Source organism: Homo sapiens, chromosome 16, assembly GCF_000001405.40.
Source record: "Homo sapiens chromosome 16, GRCh38.p14 Primary Assembly".
In the NCBI taxonomy this organism is placed as follows: Eukaryota; Metazoa; Chordata; class Mammalia; order Primates; family Hominidae; genus Homo; species Homo sapiens.
The window spans coordinates 85,097,841-85,117,445 of NC_000016.10; the positions used below are offsets into that span (position 1 = coordinate 85,097,841).

The 19,605-nt window shown below is 53.8% G+C and overlaps 1 protein-coding gene across 4 annotated transcripts, besides 4 other annotated features; it reads right to left on the reverse strand.

Moving 5' to 3' along the window:
- Window positions 1-517: 517 nt before the first annotated feature.
- Window positions 518-14,632, reverse strand: CIBAR2 (CBY1 interacting BAR domain containing 2). Of its 4 annotated transcripts, none has more exons than XM_017023198.2 (10): window positions 14,493-14,632; window positions 12,386-12,620; window positions 10,191-10,259; window positions 10,006-10,107; window positions 9,827-9,832; window positions 7,487-7,591; window positions 4,374-4,487; window positions 2,299-2,400; window positions 1,428-1,506; window positions 518-841 (listed from the first exon to the last, which is right to left on the reverse strand). In XM_017023198.2, coding segments are annotated over exons 1-10 (834 nt in total). In that variant the 5' UTR covers window positions 14,513-14,632; the 3' UTR covers window positions 518-839. The 4 variants fall into 4 exon arrangements, with proteins under 4 accessions (XP_016878687.1, XP_011521365.1, NP_001353849.1 ...); XM_011523063.2 differs by having other exon boundaries at window positions 1,336-1,506; NM_001366920.1 differs by lacking the exon at window positions 1,428-1,506.
- Window positions 4,673-4,742: an enhancer, noted in NCBI's record as "active region_11260". NCBI's record gives its function as "activates an Ori minimal core promoter by ATAC-STARR-seq in GM12878 lymphoblastoid cells {active_cell/tissue: GM12878}" and the evidence as "EXISTENCE:reporter gene assay evidence [ECO:0000049][PMID:35858748]".
- Window positions 7,317-7,366: an enhancer, noted in NCBI's record as "active region_11261". NCBI's record gives its function as "activates an Ori minimal core promoter by ATAC-STARR-seq in GM12878 lymphoblastoid cells {active_cell/tissue: GM12878}" and the evidence as "EXISTENCE:reporter gene assay evidence [ECO:0000049][PMID:35858748]".
- Window positions 7,407-7,466: an enhancer, noted in NCBI's record as "active region_11262". NCBI's record gives its function as "activates an Ori minimal core promoter by ATAC-STARR-seq in GM12878 lymphoblastoid cells {active_cell/tissue: GM12878}" and the evidence as "EXISTENCE:reporter gene assay evidence [ECO:0000049][PMID:35858748]".
- Window positions 7,477-7,536: an enhancer, noted in NCBI's record as "active region_11263". NCBI's record gives its function as "activates an Ori minimal core promoter by ATAC-STARR-seq in GM12878 lymphoblastoid cells {active_cell/tissue: GM12878}" and the evidence as "EXISTENCE:reporter gene assay evidence [ECO:0000049][PMID:35858748]".
- Window positions 14,633-19,605: the final 4,973 nt, after the last annotated feature.

Here is a 19,605-nt window from a genome sequence, read left to right on the forward strand (position 1 = left end):
CCAAAGGTCTATGTTGAAGTCCTACCTGCCCCCATACTTCAGAATGTGACCTTATTTGGAAATGGGGTCCTTGCTGATATAATTAGTCAAGATGAGGCCATCCTGGAGTAAGGTGGGCCTCTGATGATGGGCGTCCTTTATAGGAGGGGGAGGTTTGGACACAGGCTCAAGTGCACACTGGGAGAACACCACATGAAGAGGAAGGCCAGGTCCGGGGGATGTGGCTACAAGCCCAGGCGTGCCAAGGACAGGAGCCACTGGAAGCTGGAGGGGGCCTGGGATGGGTGCTCCCTCTGAGCCTCCAAAAAGAAACAGCCCTACTGACCCCTTGCTCGCAGATTTCTGGGTTCCAGAACACAGGAGAGTGATTTTCTGTGGTTTGAGCTGCCCAGGCAGTGGTGCTTTGTCAAGGCAGCCCAGGAAAGGAATCTACTGTGCTTGCAACATGAACACAGGGGCAGGCACGTCCCACCCAAGCCCCCAGACTAAAGGCAGAATGAGAGAGCCGGGATCAAGCTGAGAGTCACAGGGCATTTATTGAACACCTACTATATGCCAGGCACAGCGATCCCCCAGAGCAACCTGTGAAGTGAGTGATATTGGCCCTGTTGTACAGATGAGGAAACTGAGGCTCAGAGGACACGTGGCTTGCCTGAGGGCACACAGCAGAGCCCACCTGAGGATCCAAGGCCAGCTAAGTTCTTCTGACTGTTGTGGGCAGTTCTCTCTTATGGGGTCCCTGCCCCAGTGCCCTGAGGTCCTCCACGGGGGCCTCCTCCATGGAGTTGTCCTCACTCTCCTCCCCTTCTTTTCCTGGGCTCCATATGGTGCTCTGAGCACTCTAAATAATAATAATAATAAAACGACAGCAACATCAGTAATGATAATGGCAGCAACAAGTCTCAAGTGTTTGTTGCGCAACAGGCCGGGTTTTCTGTGCTTCGTATAGATCTGTTCATCTGATACTCAGCACAGCCCTACACGGAGGTTACTGTTCTAAGCCACTCTGCAGGCGAGGACTCTAAGGCACAGAGAGGCTAGGAGACTTTCCCAAGGTCACACCGCCGGGAGCAGTGGGCTCGGACCAAGAAATAGATAGCATAAAGAAAAACAATCAAAACTTCAGGAAACATTGGATACACTCACAGAAATGCAAAATGCTCTGGAAAGTCTCAGCAACAGAATTGAACAAGTAGAAGAAGGAAATTCAGAGCTTGAAGACAAGGTCTTTGAATTAACACAATCCAACAAAGACAAAGAAAAAAGAATCAGAAAATAAGAACAAAGCCTCCAGGCAGTCTGGGATTATTTTAAACGGCTTGGGATTGCACTTACCCTACGTCGTTAGAGAGAATGTCCTGGAAGCATGAGATGCCCACCCTGCCCACACACACAGTGGGCTGGCTGCCCCTTAACCACCCACTCACAGAGACTAAACCTGCCATGATTGGCATGAGGATGTTCAGGGTCTTCATTTGCCCTACTCAGCTGGACCTGCAGAGTTCCCTGCAGAAATATAAATGCACCTGATGGCAGGCCTTCCTGGGGCTGTAAGGTAACATCTAATGTATGTACCTAATCACCTCCCTAACCTCTGAGGAACCCTGGATTCTGGAACCCGCGGGCCCACGGGCTGGGATGGAGGTGTGGACCTGACTGGGGGCCTCTGTTTCTCAAGTGGCAATACCTCAGAGTGCCTCCAGGGAGTGCTCAGGACCCATGGCAGCCACGGCAGGGACCGTGTGGCCTACCACACTGGGTGACGTGGCTTCATTGATTCTACTTTTTTTTTTTTTTTCCTGAGACAGAGTCTCGCTCTGTAACCCGGGCTGGAGTGCAATGGTACGATCTCGGCTCACTGCAACCTCTGCCTCCTGGGCTCAAGCGATTCTCCTGCCTCAGCCTCCCAAGTAGCTGGGATTACAGGCATACACCACCACACCCGGCTAATTTTTGCTTTTTTTTTTTTTTTTTTTTTTTTAGTAGAGATGGGGGTTTCAACATTTTGGCCAGGCTGGTCTCGAACTCCTGACCTCAAGTGATCCTCCCACCTCAGCCTCCTAAAGTGCTGGGATTATAGGCATGAGCCACCGTGCCCAGCTTCATTCTACTTCAAGGCAAAGTTCTGGTCAGACCCCCGGGCAGCCCTCCATGCTCCCACCACCCCTGCCTCCTCAGCCTCCCATTTCAAATTCGAGTTCTCAGCCACCCTCCTCTAATCCCTGGGGTTACTACCACGGGCCTTCCAGGCCGTGCACGACATTTTAGGTGTAACCCCTCACCCACCCACACGCTCACCTGGCTGGCGAGAGACTGAAGAACAGATGGAGGGGGGCTGGTGTTGGCAAGCAGCCGAGTGTCATAATGCCCATAAACTCCTTGCATCTTGGCTCTAAAATCCTGCCGGGGAGAGACCAGGGTGGGTGGGATCCGATGGGAAAACACAGCGTGGGTTGGGGGAGTGGGATGGAAAGACGGTGGGGACGAGAAGGCCCGAGACAGCTAATGCTCATGGAACTCCACGGTCCTCTCCAGGAGCTTCCTGTTTCTTATTTCACATAATCTACAGCAGCCCGGTGAGTGGGCATTATCACCCCATTTTACAGATGGGAGAGGCCCAGAGAGGCCAGGTAACATGACCATCGTCACACAGGATAACAGCAGGATTCGAGATCCCCCTTTCCCCTAAAAAGAATATTGTGAAGTGAGTGAATGCGAGAGAGCCCCTCTGACCTGCATCAAACCTCATGGTAGTTTTAAGGCTTACTGGTAACTCAGATGATCTGATGCTTCCCCCATCAGGAGCTGGAATCAAACTCCTCTCCCCTTGAATACAGGCAGCCTCAGAGATTCACTTCTAACAAATGGAATATGGCAAAGCCACACTGGGTTACTGCTGAAGTTAGGTCATAAAAGGTGATTGAGTGCCGGGCGCGGTGGCTCACACCTGTAATCCCAGCACTTTGGGAGGCCGAGGCGGGCAGATCATGAGGTCAGGAGATCAAGACCATCCTGGCTAACACGGTGAAACCCCGTCTCTACTAAAAATACATAACATTAGCTGGGCGTGATGGAGGGCGCCTGTAGTCCCAGCTACTCGGGAGGCGGAGGCAGGAGAATGGCTTGAACCTGGGAGGCGGAGTTGCAGTGAGCCGAGATAGTGCCACTGCACTCCAGCCTGGGCGACACAGCGAGACTCCGTCTCAAAAAAAAAAAAAAATGGTGACACTCCCTCTTGGAACCAGCTGCTGTGAGGAAGCCCAGGCCCCATGGAAAAGCCGTGGGCAGCCACTGTGGCCGTAGACCCCGAGGAAGACCCAGGGATGGCAGGCTTTGTGGGGTGTAGCTCACACAGTTGCCTGGGGCTCCACACCCAGAAGGACCCTGTGCTTGGCTTAGCACTCTGATGCTGCTGTCGTGGAGATCTTAGTAATTGTTGATACGCCCCACATTTTCATTTTGCAGTGGGCCCTGCAAATCTCGTGGCCTGTCCTGTGCTCAGATGACAGCCACCTTCTGCTAGACATGAGGGAGGAAAGCTAAGAAAAGACAGCCCCAGCCTCTGACCAATGGCAGCCACATGAAGCCTCCACCTGAGAACTGCCCACGTGAGCCCCATCAACCCCAGACCCACAGAAAAGAATCATGATAACTGATTGTTGCTTTACAATACTAGGCTTGCGGAAGGGTGTTACAGATAACGCAAACAGCTCATTCTAGATTTTAACCAGATCAGAAGGGGATAAAAAGCACTTCTTTCTATTTCAAAACTACATCAAGCATCAGCCAGGAAATGCTTTTTATTGTTGTTGATCCATTTGTGTTTTTTTGTTTTTGTTTTTTTTTTTTGATGGAGTCTCGCTCTGTCGCCCAGGCTGGAGTGCAGTGGCACGATCTCGGCTCACTGCAACCTCCACCTCCCGGGTTCAAGCGATTCTCCTGCCTCAGCCTCCCGAGTAGCTGGGATTGCAGGTGCCCACCACCACGCCTGGCTAATTTTGTATTTTAGTAGAGACAGAATTTCACCATGTTGGCCAGGCTGGCCTCGAACTCCTGACCTCAGGTGATCCGCCTACCTCGGCCTCCCAAAGTGCTGGGATTACGGGCGTGAACCACCATGCCCCCGCCGATCCATTTGTTTTTAAACACCCCAGTGATGATGAATATGTTGATGTTCCAAATAGCATTAAGAAAAATTATCCTCACTTTGGCACCCACCCAGGGGCAGATATTGACAACGCTTCATCAGCATGAGTCTTCAAAGTTAGAAAAGTTGTGAAATGTTACCAACAAAAACGACTTCTATCAAGACAAAACCAAAATGAAACTCTGCCCCACTCCACCATATAGGAAACGGGGTGTCTGTGACTCACCAGTAGATCCCTCTCCAGGTCATACTTCTCCAGGGTCTGGAAGGCGCTAGAATACACCTCCACCGCTTTGGCATGGAAAACCATCTCAATAGTTACAAAGTCACAAAAAAATTTCTGTGGGGAGAGAAACCCAAAGAATGTAAGCATCGCAGTGAGAAAGAGCCCAGGGAAGCCTGGGATGCAGGCAGATGGGGTGGGGGTGTGGAGGGCTGTCCGTGTGGGGACAGGCCCCAGGTGGGGAGTTTCGACATGTTATTTTAAACTTATTTTTCTTTCATAGAGAACACATTTGCATGGTTCAAAAATCAAAACTATTGGTCAGGCACAGTGGCTTATGCCTGTAATCTCAGTACTTTAAGAGGCCGAGTCAGGAGAATCACTTGAGCCCAGGAGTTCAAGACCAGCCTGGGCAACATGGTGAAATCCTGTCTCTACTAAGTACATAAGTAAATAAATAAATAAATATAAAGTATGCCAAAGTGTCAACTGAGGAGACTTGCTCTCCATCCTCCATCCTGTTCCCTTCTTTCACTTCCCCTCTGCCTCCTGAGATCACGTTGAGAAGTTTCTGTGTATTCCCGCCTTGTTTCCTTAGATAAGCCAGTATTCTCTTCTCTTCTCCCTTTTTCACTCTGGTCTGAGCTTGCTTTTCCCCTGCTAACAATCGGTCCTGGAGATCTCTTCACAGGAGGCTTTTTTTTTTTTTGAGATGGAGTCTCCCTCTGTCACCCAAGCTGGAGTGAAGTGGTGTGATCTCGGCTCACTGCAATCTCCGCCTCCCGGGTTCAAGCGATTCTCCTGCCTCAGCCTCCTGAGTAGCTGGGATTACAGATGTGTGCCACCACGCCTGGCTAATTTTTGTATTTTTTAGTAGGGACAGGGTTTCACAATGTTGGCCAGGATGGTCTCGAACTCCTGACCTCAAGTGATCCGCAGGAGGGCTCCACTTTCATGAATGGGATTAGTGCCCTTGTAAAAAAGACTGGAGGGAGCTTTTCTGCCCCTTCTGCCACATGCGGACTCATAGCAGGCACCAGCCATGGGGAACAGGCCCTCCTCGGATGCTGAATCTGCTGGAGCCTCGGTCTTGGACTCCCCAGCCTCCAACACCGTGAGAAATAAACTTCTGTTGTTTATAAATCACCCAGCTTAAAGTGTTGTGTTGGCGCAGGCTGGATGGACTAAGACAGGTGGTGATGATTAGCTCAAGTTCTTGCTTTTATCTCTTTTGAAATGTGAAGGGCTTTCAAGGCATGGTTTGGATTCACATCTCTTACAAATTTAATCCCAGAACTTGAAAGCACTCCCACTTTTAAGCTGTGCTTCTGTTGGCCCCTGACCTGGAGAACCGTGTGGTCCATGCTCCCTGGTGCTGCCCACCCAGCCCCAGACACATCAGGTGCTGAATAACGTCTGCCGACTGTTTCAGTTTCTCCTTGCCATGTAGGCAGCGTGAGCACTAATCACTGACGCTTCATTCCCTTGTGCATTCATTCATGCAGGCGTTCACTCATTCGTTCATTCCACAAGCATTTACTGAATACCCACTAGGTGCCAGGCCCTGGACCCTGGTGGCTGGGATTCGGCAGGGGTCCTGTCCTGTGGCACTGACATGCAGTGTGTCACACAGTGACCTCACAGGCTTCTCTGCTCCACGACGTGATGAATGTGATGGATGGCACACAGCACACCACAAACCACATGATCCGTCCATCTCCTCCCGCCCCAACGGTGTCAACTCCGTGAGCTCAGGGACCTTGTATGTTGGGCATGGTGTACCCAGCATCAGGCACAGCACCTGGCACGCAGTAGGTGTGCATTCCACACTTGTTAAAGTAACACGTGAATTGAATACACAATTAACCATTCCACCTGGGATGGCAGCCCCGTGGGAGCAGAGTAGGGTGTATAAACAAGGGGCCTGACCAGTCTTGGGTCCGGGTGACTTTCCCCAAAGAATGAGGTTGAAGCCGAAGGAGAAGGAGGCACCGACTGGACGCAGATCAAGGCACAACCCTGCAAAGGCCTCGGGTAGGAATGGGCTCTGTGCACTGGAGCTTGGAGTGCCGCAGGCAGGATGAGGCCGCAGGCCTGAGCCAGGGCTTCAGGAGCCTGGAAGGGATTTTGGTTCTAATCCTTAGAACAAGGGGAGCCACCAGAGGGTGCTCAGCCCAGCGATGATGAATTGGACCTGCCTTTTAAGAGATCCCTGGGGTAGGCGCGGTGGGTCACACCTATAATCCCAGCACTTTAGGAGGCCAAGGTGGGTGGATCAATTGAGGTCAGGCGTTCGAGACCAGCCTGGCCAACATGGTGAGACCACCTCCCCCCATCTCTACTAAAAATACAAAAATTAGCTGGGCGTGGTGGTACGTGCCTATAATCTCAGCTACTTGGGAGGCTGAGGCAGGAGAATCACTTAAACCCGGGAGGCGAAGGTTGCAGTGAGTGGAGATCATACCATTGCACTCCAGCCTGGGCAACCAAGTGAGACTCCATCTAAAAAAAATAAAATAAAATAAAATCCCCATGGTGGTGTGCACCTTTGGAGAATGGACTAGCGAGGGCTCAAGAGATGGGGAAGGAATCTCTGCGATCAGCTAGTACCAAAAGACCCCGCCTCTCTGAGCTCCTTTTGTAAGAGCTGGGGCTCTGGGCCCGGGGCTTTGTGGTGCTGGGGTGGGGATCTGGGTGGCAGGAGGAAGGCACCCACACCCAGCTGCTGGGCCTTCACGTGGCTTGTTCAGGGAGGGGGTTTAGAGCTGTGAGGAGAAAAAGAGGTTAGAGCCATCCTGTGTGAAGAGGAAGTGGGGAGTGTGTGTGGAGGCAGACAAACTCTTCCTGGCTAGGAGCTGGACCTAGGGCCACCCAGTGGCTTCCGGCTGTGCTGGGACAGCTGCCCTGAGCACCAGCCTCTGATGCCCTGTGGCCAGGATTAACTGTGCCGGGAGCCTGTGTGGGCATAAGCTCACTCACGCCTTCCAGTGCTCACACGTGTACACAGACCCATACACACTCATGCTGAAGCATGCACACAGACACGTGTACACACGTGCATGCACACACACACAAGGCAGCCCAGGGCGCCTCCCATCCCGGCCAACCACCCTCACCTGCAGGTCCTTGAGCTTCTGCCTCTGGAAGCCATCCACAGTCTCCTCCAGCTGGAGGGTGGTGCGGCTGGAGTCCACAGCGGCCCTCTGCACTCTGGTCTCTGCCTGGCCCCAGGGACACAAGACGTAGAAAGTGTCATGGGGGTGCTTCTGGCCCTTAGACACCTTTCTGAATCACTCTGTCTCTAAACCCTTCTCTCAGGCCAGTTCTCCTGCCTCAAGGGACGTTTCTTGCTAATTGGGTCATCAAAGGAATGGCTGAGTAGGACCCCGGCTGAAGGAGCAGTCACTGGAGTGAGACACACCTGCTTGCTAGCTGTGTGACCTCAGGCAAGTCACTTACCCTCTCTGAGCCTCAATTTCCATGCTTGTAAACAGAAGACAGTAATGAGACTTGCTTAGCAGGGCTGTTGTAGAAATTAAACAGCAGCACCTGCTGAGCCCTTAGGACAGGTGCTCCACGTTCATTGATAATTAATTTCTGCATGAGGAACACATTTAGGTAATTAACTCTTTCGTTCCTTTGATCAACATCTATAGACGCTTACTCCATGCCAAGCCCAGACATGAAGAATCTGGCTTTTAGAGTCAAACACCTTGGAGCTGCGTTTGAAATTTGCCACTTAACTGCCTGTGTGACCTTGGGTAAGTCACCTTTCTTGGTTTCAGATTCCTCTTTAAAATGGGGACTTAAAACCACCTTCGTGTTTGTGAAACGCCTGAGATGGGAAGAGACAGCTGGGGGCTGGCATCTAGGAAGCCCTCAGGAAAGAAGGGAAAGCTGTTGTCACTCAAATAAATGGCTGCAGAGACGGTGGGTGACCCAGGTGGGATCCAGGATAGAATCCGGAGGTGCTCGGGCAGGGCTGTGACCCACATTCGTGTAGGTCAGGACTCCCCACGCTCAGCACTAGTGTCCGGGGCCCTGTGGGAGGTTTAGCGGCATCCAGCATCCCTGGCCTCTTCCCACTGGATGCCAGGTGGTAGGTAGGATAAACGGCCCCCCAAAGATGTCTGCATCCTAATCCCTGGCACCTGTCAATATGCCCCTTCCAAGGCATCGGGGACTTAGGGTAGCAGGTGGAATGAAGGTTGCTAATCAGCCATCCTTGCCATGGGAGATGATCCTGGATTATCTGCTACAAGCAGTGCAATCAAAGGGTCCTTTCAAGTGGAAGAGGGAGGCGGGCAGGTCAGGGGAAAGATGTGACTACAGAGGGAAGGTGCAGGCTGCCAGCTTGAAGACAGGGGAGGGGCCATGAGCCAAGGGATGTGCGTGGCCTCTGGAAGCTGGAAAAGGCGAGGGCGCAGACTCTCCCTGGAACTTCCAGAAGGAACCAGCCCTTTCCACACCTTGATTTGGCCCAGTGGGCCCACGGTGAACCTCTAACCTCCTGAACGGTGAGAGTCCGTCGTCATTTTTCACAACAGTGGGAAGAACTTAACACTTTCTAGCAGAGCTCTCCAATCCTGAGCCAGAAACATCGCCAGAGAGTGAAATGCCCCCAGGTGAGGACCGCTGACTTAGCTCCATCAAGGGGCACTCTTTGTGGCTGGGCCTGTAATCCCAGCATGTTGGAGGCCTGAGGCAGGTGGATCGCCTGAGGTCAGGAGTTCAAGACCAGCCTGGCCAACATGGCAAAACCCCGTCTCTGCTAAAAATATAAAAATTAGCCAGGCACAGTGGTGGGCACCTGTAATCCCAGCTGTTGGGGAGGGTGAGGTAGGAGAATCGCTTGAACCCTGGAGGCGGAGGTTGCAGTGAGCCGAGACTCTGCCACTTGCCCTCCAGCCTAGGCAACAGAGCGAGACTTTGTCTCTCAAAAAAAAGGGGGGGGGCACTCTTTGGATGAGGTCACACACTCAGTCACAAATCAGTTACACATACAGCAGCGGTGACTAGCCCTCCTCCAGCTCTCACTCTACCTCCCGGCCCCTGCATCTTTCCCACGGGGCAGGACAGTAAGACAGACAGCATGCGGGGTCCCTTCCACCTGCTGTGCCCCACGAGCTCCCATAACTGTGTCTCTGTGAGCCCTGGTTTCCTCCTGTAGACGATGGGGATGAGGCTAGCAGTGCCCACCTGATGTGAGCATTAAACAGGTAACTGGAGGGGAAACCGAGGCCCATGGAGGGACTGATGGTATCAATAATGGGACAGAGCCCAGGTCTCCAGACCCCCAGAGCCCCTTTTTACTGGTACCTTTGGCTTTCCCAACCTGAGCGCAAGGTCCTGCACACACCTGCTTCAGACCAGGTAAAGTCTACCTGGCCGTTTTGTGAGGTCGTGTATTTCCTACGTGTGATTCTGCCTGCCCCAGACAGACATGTGACACTCACCTGGGACTGAAAAACGTGCTGTTAAGGAACCAAGTTAAGCCCAGGCAGCCCCGTTGGGGTGGTCCGCCCCCTTCACAGCCCCTGCCCAGCGGGCCCAGGCAAAGAAAACCTCAGAAGACATCAGTGTGAGTGGACACCCTGGCCCGGCAGCCCCAGGCCCCACTTCCAGGGAAGGATACGATCATTTGCTGATCCGAGGGTGACTTCTGCCTCAGTTTCTCCAGTTTTTCCAGTTGTTTGATCTCATGATTTTGGACATGTTTGAATTTCTTGATCTCAGCCTGCAGAAAAGGAGGAGGGTTGTTTCCTGGGATCCCACAGGGCAAGACAGGGATGCCACCCACACCGAGGTGCCCCGGCTCACCCGTGTCTGCTTGATCTGTGCCCCGTAGAGCTTCAGGGGGTTGACCACCTTGGTCTCCAGCCTCTCGACCTGGGGGAGCGGGGACACCAGGGGATCTGAGCGCAGGGTGCTGCCTGCCTCCAGCCTGGGCATATAAAGCAGAGCCGGCACCCGGGAGCCGCGTGTCCAGAGCTGTGCGGCGGGAGGTGGAGCGCGAGGTGCCCTCCCTTTTCCCGGTGTGTTGGAGGCACGGAGCTGGGTTCAGGGCCCGGCTCTGCCTCCCGAGGGCTCCAGCAACGCATTCAGTCTCTCGAAGCCTCATTTCCTCACCTGTCAAATGAGGTCATGGATGCACCTACCAGGGTTTCAGGACAGTAGGAAGATGGTGCCTGGCCCAGAACTCAGGGAGTGTCATCACTGAGGAGGGCAGGACAGGCCCCTGGTGTGTGCTCAGTCTCTCTACACGACAGCCCTGGCCCCGTCTCCCAACTGCCACACAGGGTGGCGATGACAAACCCACTTTGCGGATGAGAAAACTGAGCCTTGCTTTGGGGACAAGACTTTATTGAGAGTCACAGTGGGGCCGGGCGCGATGGCTCACGCCTGTAATCCCAGCACTTTGGGAGGCCGAGGCGGGCAGATCACCTGAGGTCAGGAGTTCAAGACCAGCCTGGCCAACATGGTGAAACCCCGTCTCTACTAAAAATACAAAAAATTAGCTGGGCATGGTGGTGCATGCCTCTAGTCCCAGCTGCTTGGGAGGCTGAGGCAGGAGAATCGCTTGAACCTGCAAGGCTGGAGGTTGCAGTGAGCTGAGATTGCGACACTTCACTCTAGCCTGGGCAACAGAGCGAGACTCCATCTCAGAAAACAAAAAACAACAAAAAACTAAAGCAGCCTCTTGCCAATTTTACAATCGGGAATGTCTTTGTGAGGGCCAGGAGCCGTCTCTGTGAACGCGTAGACATCAAGGAAGATGGCACCCTGTCTCCTGGTGCCCTGGTCTTCCTCTGGTCTCCGTGGGAGTTTAGGGTAGGCTCCTGGCTCCAAGTTCTGCCACCTGCTTGTCACAGAGCCGTGAGAAGTTTTATTTTTCCTTTGGTTAAAGGTAATTAACTAGGCCAGGCATGGTGGCTCATGCCTGTAATCCCAGCACTTTGGGTGGCCGAGGTGGGAGGACAGCTTGACCCCAGGAGTTCAAGACCAGCCTGGGCCACATGGCGAAACCCCATCTCTTAAAATTTTTTTTTTAATAAAATAAAGATAATTAGCTAGTACAGGTGGCCACCCCGTTACCAGGTGAAAGTAGGATGTACTGGTGAGAAATGGGGTTGTCAAGGCCTCTTACTGGGGGACAGTTGTCATCTGTCTTGAGAACATGGGCATCGTGGGTTGTGTCTGCCTGCCTGGAGAAGAGAGTGCCGTTTCTGTCTGTGCGATCTTTCTTGGACTGCCCATGACATGCGTTGCTATCTGGTTTAAAGCTTACTCAATTGTAAAGCTGTTCCATTCTTTGTTTTTTGGTATTTTTTGAGATAAAGTCTTGTACTGTCTCCCAGGCTAGAGTGCAGAGGCATGATCATGGCCCCAGCCTCGACCTTCCAGACTCAAATGATCCTCCTATCTCAGCCTTCTGAGTAGCTGGGACCACAGCTGCTTATTTATTTATTTTAGAGATGGAGTCTTGCTATGTTTCCTAGGCTGATCTTAAACTCCTGGGCTCAGACAGTCTGTCCACCTAGGCCTCCCAGAGTGCTGAGATTACAGGTGTGAGCACCTGGCCCTTTTTTATTCTTTTCTACAATTCATGGTGAGGAGTTTTCTGGGCTGGCAGGAATTTCTATTTTTAATTATTTCCTGAACACCCTGCAGCCTCCTTGCCCCTGACTCCCCACCAGGATTTCTGTTCCTTCCCGAGGCCCTCATAGGCCTTGGATGTGTCTCCTTCGGGGGTTCATGGAGCCCCCAGGGCTGGCTTCCTGGGTTTCCTTGCTTTGTTGACCCTTCATCCGACTCAGCAAAGCCTCCTAGGCTCTCAATCCTGCAGGTGGAGGTGTGACCCTGGAAAGGGTGTAAATGTCCATTGTCGGTGGATGTCTCTGGAGACACACCCATTGGCTGTGGCCACAGCAGGGCTCCTGCAGCCCTCAGGCCTGACCTTGGCATTGGAGCCTGGGTACCCCTCAGCATCCCAGACCCGGGCCGGCAGCACTCACCTGGGCCTGCCGGTAATCCTGCACTTTGGCCAGGTCCTCAGCGAAGCCCCTCATGGTGGCCCGCAGCTCGGGGTTCTCGGAGTTGGCAAAGTCGATGAGCTGCTTGACCAGCTGGTCCGCCTTGTCCCGCAGCCGGGCCGTCTTGCGCGTGTAGGCGGCCAGCAGCGAGCAGAACTGCCCAAAGTACTTCTCGGTGTTGGCCACGGTATTCTCCATCACCCTCACCTGGCTGTCCCTGTGGAGGCGGGGACCTGAGCAGCCATTCTGGGCAGAGATGCAGGGCCCCGGTCATGCCAAGAGCAGACAATAGCTATGAAAACAGGAGCTGCCACCAGCCGGCCTCTGGTGTGGCACGCACATGCCACAGGCTGTCACTCAAGGTGGCAGCATCACGGCCATTGAGGCTGATGAGGGGGATCTGCCTGGGCTGGTCAGTAGTGGGCAGGAATATAAATGCGGGCTTGGCTGCAGACCTGGCCTTTTTTTTTTTTTTTTTGGAGACAGAGTCTTGCTCTGTCACCCAGGCTGGAGTGCAGTGGTATGATCTTGGCTTACTGCAACCTCTGCCTCCTGGTTTCAAGTAATTCTCCTGCCTCAGCCTCCTGAGTAGGTGGGATTACAGGCGCCTGCCACCATGCCTGGCTAATTTTTGTATTTTTAGTAGAGACAGGGTTTCACCATGTTGGCCAGGCTGGTCTTGAACTCCTGACCTCAGGTGATCTGCCTGCCTTGGCCTCCCAAAGTGCTGGGATGACAGGCATGAGCCACCACGTTCGGCCCCAACTCACCTTTAAGGGCTCCCAATCCGGCGCCCCCCTGCAGCAGGTGCGCGATGACTGATCCACCGCATTCAGGCTTCTACGACAGCCAGGGAGGCCTGGCCTCTCCTGGGCCTCCTCACGCCCTCTCCTTTCCCTCATCCCCAGCGTGTAACTGTCCCTGCCTCTCTCCCTGTGACCAAAGTCCCCCGTGCAACCCTCTCATCAAATCCCTGACTCGAGAAACGCCCTGAGGAGCAGCCCTCTGTCCCGACAGACCCTAACTCTCTTGCCACCCTCACTGCAAAACACTCCACATGCACCGCCCTATAAGCAAGGTGCTGCTGGTATCACCATGTGAAAATGCAGTGAACTGAGGCCCAGAGAGGTGAAGCATCTTGCTACCGGTCACACAGCCAGACACAGCCTCTGTTCCCGCAGGTAGGGTCCTCACAGCCCCTGATTCAGCAGCACAGGGGTCAGAAGTCAGACACTGGGGCTCCTAGGCCCCCGACCCCAGGCATGTGCACCAGAATCCCTGGGAGGGGGCCTGAGAAGCTGCGTTTTAAAAACACATCCAGGCTGGGCACAGTGGCTCACGCCTGTCATCCCAGCTCTTTGGGGGGCCGAGGTGTGCAGATTGCCTGAGCTCAGGAGTTCAAGACCACCCTGGGCAACATGGTGAAACCCCGTCTCTACTAAAATACAAAAAATTAACCGGGCGTAATAGCACGCCTGTAGTCCCAGCTACTTGGGAGGCTGAGGCATGAGAATCGCTTGAGCCCAGGCGATGGAGGTTGCAGTGAGCCGAGATCGAGATGGCACCACTGCACTCCAGCTTGGGCTACAGAGTGAGAGTCCATCTCAAAAAAATAAAAGATAAAAACACATTGGTTGCTTGAGAGGTTGCCTGGAATTCGAACCTCAGAGGAACCAGGCGTGGAAATGAACGGGGCAGGGCAGGCAGGTTGTGAGAGCAGGGATGGCATGGGCCGGGGCAGTGTGGACTGGGTCCCCACAGAAGGGGGAGGCCTGGTTGGGGTTGAGGTGTGATGGGGGTTTTCCAGGTGGAGGCGAGAAAGGAAAGGGGATGAATTTGACTCCTCCAGATACACAGGCAGCGATGCTGGAGAAGCAGACGGAGGCCAGATTCTGGAAGCTTCTGTAGTCCCAAGCCCTGTCTTCCCTGAGCTGGATGGAGGTGGAGGCACCGTGGGAGGGAGAGCTCCCCTCACCCCCAACCCCCACCCCAAGCAGCAGGCCCTGCTGCCCTCATCTTTGTTGGTGCCCCGGGCCTCAAAACCCGACTTCCACCTCCCTCACAGCCAGGCTGGCGCTGGCCCACTCACCTGGAGAAGACGATGTTCATTGTGACCAGAGCTTTGGCTGTCCCGGTGCTGGGGAATAAGGACAGGGCCCCAGGGGTCCTGCAGGCCTGGGAGGAGCCGGGCAGGGCTGGGTGCAGCTGTGTGGCCTGGGCTCAAGGGACGCTGCCACCCGGTTGCTAGGCGATGGGGCCGCCCACGGCAGGCCCTAGGAGGAGCCGGTCGCCCGGGCAATGCCTCCCTGAGGCCGGCCTCCCCAGCCTCGCGTTGGCTCAGGAGCTGCTGAGAGAAGAGGGCACCCCACAGAGGCCCACACTCTCCCTTTGAAGATGGAGGCTCTTGTGGAATGGGGCTAGTGGCTGGGGCTCCCCAGGAGGTAGCAGGGAGAGATTTAGGGGGCTCAGGCCTGCGTGCGGCCACATGTGTGGGTCCTGCCCACTGGGCTCCTCCCTCCCTTCAGGGAAGCTGCCTGCCCCGAGCCTGCCACTGGCCTTTCTGGGGTCTAGTCTCAGGTGGGCGGGACATGGAAAAGCTCAGGTGGGGGGTGCAGACACACAGAGTAAACTCGGGCTCCCCAGGGTGGGGCAAGGAACCAGCTCAAAGGAGCGTCTTTCACGTTTTTATCATAATTGCATTGTTTTTTCCCTTATTATAAAAGCATTATCTGCTCACTGTTAGTAAAGTAAGATAATTAAGATACCACAGAAAGAAAATATAAATGCACATGTCAGATTGACTAGCTCAAGTCCAATACATTCCACTAATGGTATGATTTCTATGTCTCAATGTATAGACACTTTACCTTCAGAAAAGAAACATAAAAATCACGACAGTAAGGAACGGGGATGGGAGGCGGGCAGAGGAAGCGGCCCAGGCCTTACTCTGCCGTTCTGTTACTTTGTATGTTTGGAGGCTTTCATTATGGAAATGGAAAGGGTTTTTTGTTTTGTTTTGTTTTTAAAGCATATATAAAAGCAAGGACTTCAGGGTCAGCTAAATACAGGTTCAAATCCCAGACCCCGCTCTGCTGTGTGACCTTGGGCAAGTCCCCTGACCTCTCTGGGCTTCAGTCCCCTCCCCTGCAGAATGGGCTCATGACAGTACTCAGTTAGGAGAAGTAAGTCCCTGGCATGGGGGCGAAGGGACAGACACAGAGGCTGGGGCGGGGACCCAGAACTCATTGAAATTCCCAGTGCACAGGCCCAGGCTGGTGGCGGCTTCCCTCTGTGACCGATCCCCAGGTGCCCACTGGGCTGTGCCGGCTGGCTGGCCCCTCCTCACGCTTCTCCAGTGATCTCATCGTCACACTCTCTCCAATCGTCCCTTTGCAGATGCCCTGCCCTGTGTTCCCCGGAGTCCCCGAACAACGCATGGACCACCCCAGCTCTGTCCCTGCTGGGTCCCCATTCTCTGTCTGGGGCATGAACCCCCACAACCTCCCACGGGATGGCTCTAAGTAGCCCCCTGGGGTTCCACAGTCAGCGTGGCTCCTCCCTTTCTGTGCCAAGCTGTGGGGTGGTGGGGTCCTGTGTCCCCTTTGTGCCGTGCAGCCGTCGCTGAGCGCCAGTCAAGTCCCTCTCCTGCTCTCTGCTTCCTTCACTCTTGGGGGCTGTGCTGGGTGGGAGAGTGTCCCCCCAAATGTATGTCTCCCTGGGGACCTCAGAGTGTGGCCTTATTTGGAAACAGGGTGGCTGCAGATGTGATTGGCTGAGTCGCACCGGAGGAGGGTGGGCCCTGATCCCACCACCGGGGTCCTCATGGGAAGAGGAGACAGAGACACACCCGGGGGAGATGGCCATGCGGCCATGGGGCAGGGACGGGAGCGGCGCAGTGTGAGCCAGGAGCACGGAGAGCTGCCAGGAGCCGGAGACAGCCCCGGAGCCTCCGGAGGGACTGCAGCAGCCTCCGTAGATCCTTGATTTCGGACTCTGTGGCCCCAGAACTAGGAGAGAAGAAACTACTGTCATTTTAAGCCCCCAGTTTGGGGTAATTTTGCTATGGGAGCCCCAGGACACTCACACAGGGTCCAAAGAGAGCAAGCCGTCCTATGGTCTACCCCACAGGGTCTCTCCAGAGCCCCCTGACCTCACCCCTGCCCTTTCCCCTCCTCCAACACACTCCTCCACCCCATCACCTCCCCCCACGTCCACCTCACGTAAATGCTCTGCTCTGTTGCAATTTTGGGTTGTCGGTCCTAAGGGCTGTGGTTTTGTTTGTTTTGTTTGTTTGTTTGTTGAGACGGAGTTTTGCTCTTGTAGCCCAGGCTGGAGTGCAATGGTGAGATCTCGGCTCACTGCAACCTCCCCCTCCCGGGTTCAAGCAATTCTCCTGCCTCAGCCTCCCAAGTAGCTGGGATTACAGGTGCCCGCCACCATGCCCGGCTAAATTTTGTATATTTAGTAGAGATGGGGGTTTCACCATGTTGACCAGGCTGGTCTCAAACTCCTGACCTCAGGTGATCCACCCACCTCGGCCTCCCAAAGTGCTGGGATTATAGGCATGAGCCCCTGTGCCCGGCCCCTTTGAGGGTTGTGTTTTAACTTTCCAGCTGAACAGCCAGGTCCTGGAGAGAGTTTTGGATTATCCCCTTGGTGAATTAATTCCTTCATGCGCCAGCCTCCCGGAGGGTCTTCTGTGTGTCATGTGAGCCAATCCCTTAAGTAAATCGCTGTCCGATTGGTTCTGTGTCTTTGCGGACCCAGCTCTACTAGGACAGGAGAGACCATTTCAAAACCCGTGTCAGGTGTCTGCCCACCAGTTGGCCTGGTCCGCGCTACTGCCGATGGCCACGGGAGGGCAGCAGAGACCCATCTGGTGGAAAACGCTTTGCTGCAGAGGTCAAGTGGGCTGGGCGGTCCCCGGGGAAACCAGAGAAGCAGCTCGTTTCAGAAAAGGCCACCTTAACACAGGGTGGGAGAGAGGAGGGTCAGAGAGGAAGGGCAAAGTTTAATTCACCATCCTAGAAACTTTAAGCATTTTTTAAAAATGAAGGCTGGGTACGGTGACTCACACCTGTAATTCTAGCACTTTGGGAGGCCGGGGTGGGTGGATCACTTGAGGTCAGGAGTTTGAGACCAGCCTGGGCAACACAGTGAGATCCCCGTCTCTATTAAAAAAAAGAAGAAAAAGAAAACCACTTCCTGGTTGGACAACACAGAGACATCTAGCGGCCAGAGAAAGAAAAGTTGAGAAATGGGGGCTGGGGCGAAGTTGGGGGATGCATGAAGCCCTGTGTGCCCCGGTTCAGATGTCATGGGCCTCCTCCCACCCCCTCTCCTGTGTGCCCCCGTTCAGATCCATGGGCCTCCTCCCACCCCCTCTCTCCTATAAATGTTTTTGTATTTATTTTTGTTTTTGTTTTTGAGACAGGGTCTCCCTCTGTTGCGTAGGCTGGAGTGCAGTGGCACGATCTCAGTTCACTGCAACCTCCACCTCCGGGATTCAAGTGATTCTCCTGCCTCAGCCTCCTGAGTAGCTGGGATTACAGGCACGTGCCACCACAGCCCGCCTAATTTTTGTATTCTTAGTAGAGACAGGGTTTCCCCATATCGGTCAGGCTGGTCTCGAACTCTCGACCTCAGGTGATCTGCGCACCTCGGCCTCCCAAAGTGCTGGGATTACAGGCATGAGCCACTGCACCTGGCCCTGTAAATGTGTTTTTGGGGAACCACATGGGAGAGGGTTGCAGACATCAAGAAATCCAGGGAGCACCTCCAAAGAGTAAGGACGTCTCCCGCAGGTCCACCTGTGACTCCACACCCAGGAAATTCACACGGCCGTGCTGGCATCTGACACTGTCCATAGGCTCACTTGCCACATCCAGCCGCTGCCGTCATGGCAGCCGGTTTTCCCCGGATCCAGGGGGGTCTGCAATGACTACCTGGGTCTACATAGTCTCCTGGAATCAGAAACTGTTCTCAGTTTTTTTTGTTTTTGTTTTCGTTTTTTCTAAGATGGAGTTTTGCTCTTGTCACCCAGGCTAAGGTGCAATGGCACAATCTCAGCTCACTGCAACCTCCGCCTCCTGGGTTCAAGCCATTGTCCTGCATCAGCCTCCTGAGTATCTGGTATTACAGGCGCCCACCACCATGCAGGGCTAATTTTTGTATTTTTAGTAGAGACGGGGTTTTACCACGTTGGTCAGGCTGGTCTCAAACTCCTGACCTCAGGTGATCTGCCCACCTCGGCCTCCCAAAGTGCTGGGATTACAGGCATGAGGCATGGTGCCCGGCCTCTCAGCCTTTTTTCATTCATGATATTGACTTTGGTTTTTTAAGTTTCTGTAACTTTTTATTTTGAAATAATTTCAGTTGTGCAACAATAATATAAGAACTCCTTCACCCAGATTCCCCGGTTGTTGACATGTTACCACGTTTGTTTCATGATTCTCTCTGCCCCTCTCTCTCTCTCATGTGTATTTTATTTTCTGAACCACTTGAGAACAGTTGCAGACCTGAAGCCCCTTTGCCCAAATATTTCATATGTGTTTCCCAAGAACAAGACCAGTCTCTTACATAACCACAGTAAGAGTATCAACGTCAGAAAATTCACTCTGTTATGTTCCATTCCCCAATCTACAGACTTCATTCAGATTCTACAGTTGTCTCAATAACACCGTTTTAGCAAACAGGCAAGCCATTGTCTCCTGGCCCAGGACAGCCACCCGCTGCCTTTAGCAGGCGCGATACTGACGTTTTGGGGACTCTGAGCCAGTTGTTTTGGGCAACATCCCTCGGTGCCCATTTTCTCGAGCACCGATTCAGGCTGAGGTCATGGCAGGATGGCTCAGAGGTGCCCCTGGGCCCTGCCTCTGTTTTATTTTATTGTATTTATTTATTTTATTTTATTTTATTTTTTGAGATGGAGTCTCGTTCTGTTGCCCAGGCTGGAGTGCAGTGGTGGGATCTCGGCTCACTGCAAGCTCTGCCTCCCGGGTTCACCCCATTCTCCTGCCTCAGCCTCCTGAGTAGCTGGGACTACAGGTGCCCGCCACCACACCCAGCTAATTTTTTTGTATTTTTAGTAGAGATGGGGTTTCACCGTGTTAGCCAGGATGGTCTCGATCTCCTGACCTTGTGATCCGCCCGCCTCGGCCTCCCAAAGTGCTGGGATTACAGGCGTGAGCCATCGCGCCCTG